This window comes from Homo sapiens, chromosome X, assembly GCF_000001405.40.
Source record: "Homo sapiens chromosome X, GRCh38.p14 Primary Assembly".
In the NCBI taxonomy this organism is placed as follows: domain Eukaryota; kingdom Metazoa; phylum Chordata; class Mammalia; order Primates; family Hominidae; genus Homo; species Homo sapiens.
The window spans coordinates 12,720,109-12,729,479 of NC_000023.11; the positions used below are offsets into that span (position 1 = coordinate 12,720,109).

Below are 9,371 nucleotides of genomic sequence, written 5' to 3' on the forward strand. Positions count from 1 at the left end.
AAGAAAAGAAAAGAAAAGTAACAATGCCAGATTTAACCTAATTCCCTTGAAATGAAACTTAATATCTCCAATATATTTGAATAATCTATACACAGTTGTTTTCTGTGTCTAAGCTTTGATGGGTAGATATTGGGAGTAAGGCAATTCATGAAATCCCTGAAAATGTTTGGGATTTCTAGACAATTCCAAATGAATCAGCAGTTCCAGAAATAACAGATTCCAGTATTTTCTTGATATTCATTAAAATGGAAATTTGTTATGAGATATCAAGAGGCAGTCTTTGGAAAGCAGGGTGACCTTAGCATCGGCAGCCCTTCCAGACTACAACCTTGAGAAATGACAGACATCATGTAGAGATGTAGTAAAAATGACCTCCCAGGAGATGCTTAATGATTCTCTCTGTTTTTCTACTACCCCTAGTGTAGCTTTGACAGAGCCTGGGAAGGAGAGACGAGGAGGCATGCCTTCAGCTTGGTCTCAACATCCTGAAGCTGATCCCATCCTGCTACCATCAAACATTCACTCGGAATCAAAGGTGCCAATTCCAAATCAAGACCCTAATGATTTCTCCCAAGCAAATCAGGCATACGGAGAGGCTGTGAGCTGGCGGCCACCGGATCTGAGAGGGGGGAGCCTCAGGACACCTCCCAGCCAGAAGGCTCTGAGACATAGCAGCAGTATCCTCTCCGGATCTGTCGATTTGGAGACCTTCCGAGAGAGAACCAAGGGTGCAGTCAGCTTAAAGTGTCCAGGCATCACAGAAGCACAGGAGGCCAGTTCTGAAAGGCGAGCAGAACTCCCCCTGGGGAGGAAGCTCACCAAAAGTTTTTCCCAAAGCTCAATGCACTTGAGCTCTGAGGGGAGGTTTCACAAAAGGTCCCCAGTGGCTCATAAAGACTCAAAGCTGTATAGGACATTACCCTTGCGGAAGCTGGAGGGCAGCAATTGGAGATGCCGGGGACCCTTCAGCTATTGCTTCCTGAACCGAGGGCAGGATGAAGATGGTGAGGAAGAAGAGGAGAGGGGAGAGGCCACCGTCCAGGTCTCTTGCCTCTATAGACCACAGATGACTCAAGCCATGCCAGAACCAAGCAGCCCATGCCTGGCTGTGGCGATTCAGAAGCAACGAGGGGAGCTATCCAGAGGGTCAGTGCTGAAGGTCTGGGCAGAAGACCTGCGAGACCCAGATGACTTGGACTTCAGCAACCTGGCTTTTGATGCCCGGATTGCAAGAATAAATGCCCTAAAGGAGAGCACATATGCAATGCCTGATGGGTTCCTTGCAGCCCAAAATGATGCCAATGAGCTGCTCTGTCTCGTCAGGGCAACCAAGGAGAAGAGGGAGGAGTCACGCCCTGAAGCGTACGACCTTACACTTTCTCAGTACAAGCAACTGTTATCCATTGAGTCCAGACAGTTGGGAAGTGCCTGTAGGAAAATGGCGATGGCTGAGAAAAGCCCGGAGGAGATGCTCCTAGCTATGACTTCCAGCTTTCAAGTGCTCTGTTGCCTAACAGAAGCTTGCATGCGATTAGTTAAAGTCGTGAACTCAGAAACACAGCGGCAGGAAATTGTAGGGAAGATCGATGAAGTGGTCATAAATTACATTTGTCTACTGAAAGCTGCCGAAGCAGCCACTGGAAAGAACCCTGGGGACCCTAATGTTGGACTCTCGGCGCGACACTCAACCACCATGGCCGCTCTCGTAAGCACACTGACACGTTCTCTCAAGAGGCTTTTAAACAAATAAATATGGAAGTCACGTCATAATCTACCTTTGCAAAGCCATACATGAACTTTTATTTACTTTGTGTGTATGATGAACAGATGTCTCCTTTCTTCTCTCTGTATATTTTGTTATTTTATATAAAATAGGAGATAAAAGTCACATTGATGAAATGTTGAAATGTACTAATCAGATGTATTCTGTTTATATTATACATATATATACACGTAAAAGAAATATCCAAGAAAGTGATGACATTTGGCTATTTTTCATATAGTTAAAACTCCAGGTATATGATGTGAAATTTTAAATTCTACCATGTTAGAGCAAAACAATGAATCCTATCCCCTTTCTTTCCAAGTAGCTACTTGGAAACCATATCATTCATATTTAGAAGTAAAACACAAAACAAAAAAGAGAGAGAAAAGAAAAGAAATCACAATGTATATAAAACAGTACTTATGTTTTAAAATTATGATTTTTAAGCATTGGAAATAGCAAAAAGACATTTAAAATTCAAGAAGCTATTATGAATTACTAGAGAATATATCTGTAATAAATTAATTTTTTGCTCATAGTATTTGGTTACTGGATGCTTTCTTCCAAGAATCCCACATATTTAATTTGGGTTTTTGCTACTGGGGCTACAAATTGGTGGGGATGGATTCTACTGTGTCAGCACAAATGCTCTTCACAGTGGTTCTAGCATTTAAAAAACTTCCCGGGGAGAAGAACAGAGGGGATGATGGGCAGTTTCCTAGGTAACACCTAGAGTTATAGAATATCTCATTACATAAAATGTATGGAATTAATAATACCAAAATTAATTATTTGATGGAAAGATCTGCTTTGACTAAATGTCAAAAATCTGCAAACCAAAGACATTATCTTCCCCTCATCCCAACTCAACTACGAAACTTAAAATTCCCTTTAGAGTGATAGGACATTTAGTAAAGTATTTGCAAACTTAAAAAAAGGAACATTTAATGATCATCAAAATTAAGTACAGATTCAGTAATGTAGACCAGACCACACACCAGCACCTGTGAGTCTCATCTCAGATCACAGCTCTCAGCATAGGGCTTCATGCATCACCGCCTCTACAGAGGCTAAGGCTGCCAGTCAAATTTGGAATTATAGCGTAGTACTGGGACAAAATCTCAAATCTTGGATGTTCCAGAAAATCAGGGAGAGATGGCTACTGTAATCATGGGAGCCATGAGTAAATAGTTAAGTATTTATTAAATAAATACTTAATCTGGATTGGCTGATAAAAATATGAAATCTGAAAAAAAAAAGAAAGAAATGGAAGTGGTATATTTGACCAGTTCAAGTGAAACCAATGGAATGCAAAGAACTTTCCAGGACTGTCACATCTCTAAAAGTACCCTGCAGTCATAAAATAAAATCGATATGTATATATGTATTTCCTGGGTCATTCAGTGCTCAAGTTACATGCACTCCTACTTAGACAGGTGGCTCCTTAAGAACATGATGGGAGTACACCAGGTGCAAATATTTCTACTTTTGTAGCCTGCTGAGAAGGAGTCATAACACAGTCCACAATTGCAATCTCTCTCTAGTCAGCCATTCCACAGGGACTCAACAACAAAAGCCGCACGTGGTTATGGATGGCAGCAAAGGAAAGGAGTTTAGGTGTGTGTTATTATAAATAATGTTTAACTAAATAATAAAACATTATTTCATTACAATTATAATTATAAATATTGGTGTTTTGATATTGAGAGATATTAGTGGTGTTTACTGTGGAAAATCTTAGTAAATATCATTCTGTGTACTAAAATCCTAACCTATTAATAGGATGTGTGCCCTATGTCAGACAGTGTGCTAAGCATATTAACTATATTATCTCATTTAATCATCACAACAATCTGCTGGTTTGGACACTATTCTCTCTGGAGGCAATATGGATGAGTTCTTACGGATATGGGGTTTGGGGTCAGAAACATCTTGATTAAAATTTTGACTCTGCCATTTTCTAGCCCTTTTATGTTGGGAAAGCTACTTTTTCTAGTCTCAATTTCCTCATAATAAAATGAAAATCAATTATAAGATCGATTTCCATAGGGTTGTCATGAGTTTTGAGTAAAAATGTGTATGTAAAGTTCTTACCACAATACCTGGCAGAGAGTAAGTATTCAATTAATGTTAGCTATTATTATCATCATAATCGTTGTGTTAAATATATTGCCCAAGATAATATGTGGGGGAATGTTTGTTTTATATGCATATTGTATCCTGACTGTGTGCAGAACACATTATGTGTATTGCATATATGTAAAAGAAGTGTACAAGGAAGTGGCCATCCTTGTTCAAGTTACGTATCTAGTTAGAACAACTTCCCAGTCCATTGGAGTTCTTTGAGAAGCCTCAGGGAAGTAGCTCTGGGTCCTTCTAATCAACCTCCCATTACTGCGCCAGTAAGTTTCTGTTTCTTATAAATAAACTCTTTGCTATTCAGAAAACCTCAAGGGGCCCCCACATTCACTAAGCATGGGGCTCCTAACTGGGGTCCAGGTCCATAGAGTGTAGGAAGAACATATTAGAACAATACTTGTGCTTATTTTTATCTAGCTTTTTTATGTTTGTGTATGTTTTATAATGGCATAATAGTACAATGGTACATGTACATAATTTTAAATAAATAAATGAATGAATGAATAAATAAGCATATGCCTGGTGCATGCATGTGACAATATTGTCGCAGGTAGGGTTGCATTCACTGAAATCTGGAGAGCACTGAACTGGAGAATAAACCTTCCTTATACTCACGGTTCTTTATGTTTAGTCCCCAGTCTACTTTGCCAAGTTTATCTCCTACCATTTTTATTAATCTTTTATCACAAATCTTTCAAACAAAAGTAGACACAATCGTATGAATTCATGTGGACTCATTACCTACCGATTCATGTCTAATCTTATTTTCTGTATTTCTACCCACCTCCTCTCCCACTGTATGATTTACAAGCAAGTCCCAGACATCATAGTGCTTAGCCCATGAATATTTCAGTAAGAATATCCTGTGAGAACTTTTAAACATAACCACAATGACGTTTTTGCATTTTAAAAATTGGGAATTCCTTAATATTATCAAATAAACATTACAGAAATAAATGATGGAGAAAGTAATAATCCCCTTAAACCCAACTTCCAAAGATAACCATTGTCCACAATTTAGGGGCTCTTCATTCCATCCTTTACTGTATTATATAGTAAAGTTATTTGTATTTTATTGGTTTATGAGCTTTGCTTTTGGCTCAGAGAGTTGTTCTGACCACAGTTGCCCTCGTACCTAAGTGTCAGTCCCAGCCTATTTCACATAAGTGAATTCGTCAGAAGGGATATGATTGATGTGGAAGGACAGAGTACTCAGATCAACAACCACACAGCATTAGCTTCAAGAAAAAAAAAATCAAAAAATGAATGCAATTGCCGAGACATTAAAATTAACACAGATCCCACTAACCTTAAGCTCAGCAGAAATTAGTCTAATCACAAACGAAATTATTTTCCAGAAAAGCCTGAAATCCCTAGCTATAGCAATACTACAATGGCTCAATTCCTTTTGCTATAAATTTTATCTTTCATTATGATTTCTCTTAGGAAAGAAAATCTTCATTTGTTTATGTTCTGCTTTCATATAGTTCTAAATGCCAGTAATTAATTCTCTGAGTGTTACTTCTGAGTGACCCAGGACAGTGCTCTAATTTATCCTGCCTGGATTATCCTTGATTTGGCAGTGGGGGCGGGTTATCACCCTTCAAAATTGTGCAGTTTTTGAAATGGAAAACAAATCACCTATGTTCAGGTAATTCCTTATCTTTTCCAAACATTTAGAAACCTTCATGGGGATCAAAATACATTAATATTGCCAGGCACAGTGGCATGTGCCTGTAATCCCAGCTACTTGGGAGGCAACACAGAAAGACTTCATTTCAAAAAAAAGAAAAAAAAAAGACTAAAAACAGAAGGAAAAAGTTGCATCAATATTACATTGTCTGTAACCTGATTTTGTCTTTGCTTTGAAAGTGGTCAATTTTGATTTGTGTAGATAGTGATGTGTGTGTGTGTGTGTGTGTGTGTGTGCGCGCGCGTGCCAATGGGTCTGTAAGACTAGCTATCAGTTTGGTTTTATAGATTTCAGTACTAGCTCCCCCTCTAGCAATGCAAAGACTACGAAAAATAAATTTGTATGTAACATCCCAAATCTTCTTTTAAAGTCAGGTTGCAGCAATAGCTTTTCAGCTTTGACAGATCAAAGATTAAGAACTTCGCCTTTTGAACTGAATTTTTATTCATAACAATTTGAATATCATTAAATTGGATACTTTTTATTTATTCCACCTATACCCTGGCCACCCATCTCACTTTTTAATTCCAAAGCCTATACATAGAAAATCCACAGAAGAACAATCTGTATCTCTATCAAATATTTGTTGCTACACAAAATAATGGAATGGCTTAAATCCTACATCACTGAAAGAAATAGATAATCAAATATCCAAAGTAACTTACTGCACCATTCAACTTCAAATTAACCAGCTGCCTTCCGTGAAACTGTCTATATTTATCAATGCATCTTAATTTTCTATTACACATTAATTTCAAAGCACTGGGTTTTGGGGTTTTTGTTTGTTTGAGGTTTTTATTTTTTCATTCTTTGTGTTAATTCACATTTTCTACTCTAAAGTCTGGACCAAAATTCTGTGCCATTTGTGGCATCATCATTCACCACTATAGGCAGAATTCACTTTGGTAGTGGATGTATGTGGGATTGGTGGAATTTAGCTTTCTTGGTAACCTCCAGCCATGTAATATTCCTGCTGTTTTCATTTTGATTAGTTCCCATTTCCTAACTTGCCTTTTCATTAATGATTCATGATTTCTTCCTGCCTCCCACTTAAAGGAAGACGGATCCATTTTTTCACTCATTCATTCAACAGCTATTATTAACTTCCTAATCTAGGCAGACAGCGTCCTAAGTGCTACAGGTGGGTACGATGATGAATATGACTGACATTGTCCCTGCCAAAGATGGAGTGCCTATTCTAGAATTGGCAAACCTTTTTCATTCCTCAAGAAAGCAGAGGTTCAGAGTGAGTTAGCATTACAGGCCGCCTTCCTTTGCATGGTAGTGCAGGACTGGGAAAGTGACCATGCAAGCTGAAACTCTGCAAAGCAATCAATAATCAATGAGAAAAATTATACCTGTTCCATGACCTACAACAATTTTTGTCAAAACTTACATACTCTCTTATTGTCAGTTATTAATGTATGGGGACATGAAAAAGTACAGTAAAATTGATATTTATTTAGTACACAGTAATTTAAACTATTAGAAACCTTGAGAATTAAACTGGATCTTTTTTGTAAAAATTTATCAAGAGGAGTTTGAACAGTGCTTGCCTTCTTTTATTCATCATATAGCTTAATGATATAGATAAGCATTCTTCTTCTATGCCTTTGGCAAATTGTCAAAGCTTCCAATACTTTATCATTTGTGTTTTTATTATTGTGAAATATCTCCAAGAGTTCCTTTCATGTGAAGTGTTTTTTTTCCGTGTCACTTTCTCTGAGACAGCTTCATCCTTTTCCTCATAACTTCTCCCCTTATTTATGTTGATGCATGTACCTTCACTGCATCTCTCTGGTGGCACATCTACAGTCTCAAATGAGGGCAATGTCATTCCCACTGTCAGCTACTTCTTTGATGATTCCATTGATGTCTTATTTTAATTTCACTTCTAGTGTTATCACTTGTTTCTTTGTTGCACTTTCATCTTTGTTGACCAGTTCTCTCTATCAATGCTCCAATTTTATTAAATGTTACACGGCCTTATCACATGGGGGAAAACAAAAGAAGGCAGCACATCTACTTGCTTTTTGCTGTGTGTGCATGAGCTGAATAACAGACCAATCAGTGGCAGACTTGGAAAGAAGTGATGCGATTGGTTGCTGACCATCATGCACACCTTTTATTTGTGTAGTGATTTTTGGATTGAGCAGCTAATGGCAAACTTTGTGCTTTATGCAATTCAGTTAACATATCATGGTAACTGAAATTTAAGCTATGTTGTTGGGGACTGGTAGATTAGCAAAACCATGGTAACTGAAATGTATGCATATCAGGACCATGAATAATGAGGACTAAATGTGTAGCATTCAGCACTGTTCAATAGAACTCTCTGTGATGATGGAAAGTGTCTAAATCCGTGATACTCAATATGATAACAAATAGTCATATGTGGCTGCTGAGTATTCCCAATGTGGCCAGTATGACTAAGGAATCAAATTTTAAACTTTATATAATTTAATTAATTGAATTTAAGCATTCACATGTAGCTATTGTCTACCACATTATACAGTGCAGTTCTAGCGGGCAAGCAGATAAAAAAGAGTGAAAAATAAACAGAATAATGAGAGATAGCAATAAGTTCTGGGAGGGAACATTATAGGTTTCTGAGGAAGAAATCACATATAAGTCAGGGATTTGCCAACAATTTGGATAAAGGAACTAACTCTGATCAGTCAGTACACATGACACTCATTTCATATAGACCCTGCTGAAGAAATTTAAATGATATATGCAATAGAGACAGTTGCAGATAAAGACTTTCGTTCATTAGACCATGAGCTTGACTTAGCCAAAACCATTTTTTTGGCCCCAAGTCCTAGGTGGAAAGACAACTGAGCATCTCCTTAAAAATTAAAACATACACACACATATATAGACTCAAATACACTCACTTGTTCTTAGCCTTTGCATGTCTTACATGATGATATGTGATTTGCGTGGATAGTTCTTCCCCAAGATTTGAAAATCTGCTGTAAAATGTTGGCTACACATTAGTTTGTGAATTGTTGACAAAGGCATTGGAGAGTGTGAAGTGTGGTGGCAAATACTGACCTAACAGCCAACATAGTGGTTGTTCCCTAAAACATGTCCTTCCCAACACAGTCTGAGCTCACACCAGCACTCACCTCAGAGCCTAAGCTTTCCTCTGCTTTTTCTCCCATCTTTCTACCTATTCTTGGTCCCAATTTCCTTCTTGGTTGGGTTTCAAGGCTGTTCCCAAGTCCACTCAGATGTGGCCCAACATGTTCTGCAGCCTAAAATATAAATACTGTATAGGGTAGAAAGGAATAAAGGAAGAGGTGAGGCTCAGTTTTATGAAAGCCAATTTAAATTTAGTATTCAATATTCTTTATTTCTTCCCTCTGTCTTCTTTCCCCTCTTTGTCTTCCCTGACACTACCCCCGACCCCACCTCTCTGTATTAGTTTCCTGTTGCTGCATGACAAATTAACACAAATGTAGTGACTTACAACAACAAGCATTTATTATCTCATAGTTTCCGTGGGTCAGAAGTCTGGGCACAGCCTAACTGGCTCAGAAAGGTTGCAGTCAAGGTTTCAGCTGGGCTGCATTCTCATCTGAAGGCTTGGCTGGGTGCAAGTCTGCTTCCAAGCTCATTCAGATTGTTGGAGTAACCCATTTTCTTGAGGATGTATGACTGAAGTCCTGGCGTTTTACCAGCTGGAGACTAGAGGCCACCCTCAGGTCATGGAAGCTGCTCACAATTCCTTGCCACAAGGGCACCTTTAACAGGGCTGCTTATGTTATC

At 38.3% G+C, this 9,371-nt stretch overlaps 1 protein-coding gene across 14 annotated transcripts in view; it reads left to right on the forward strand.

Moving 5' to 3' along the window:
• Positions 1–4,415, forward strand: part of FRMPD4 (FERM and PDZ domain containing 4) — a 902,085-nt gene extending 897,670 nt beyond the window's left edge. For 8 of the 14 annotated variants that reach the window (NM_001368398.3, NM_001368402.3, NM_001368400.3 and 5 more), the window contains one exon: positions 421–4,415. In NM_001368398.3, coding sequence (NP_001355327.1) covers positions 421–425 — 5 coding nt within the window. In that variant the 3' untranslated portion in view covers positions 426–4,415. The remainder of the gene's footprint in view (positions 1–420) is intronic. The other 6 variants (NM_001368395.3, XM_017029983.2, NM_001368396.3 and 3 more) reach the window with 1 other exon arrangement.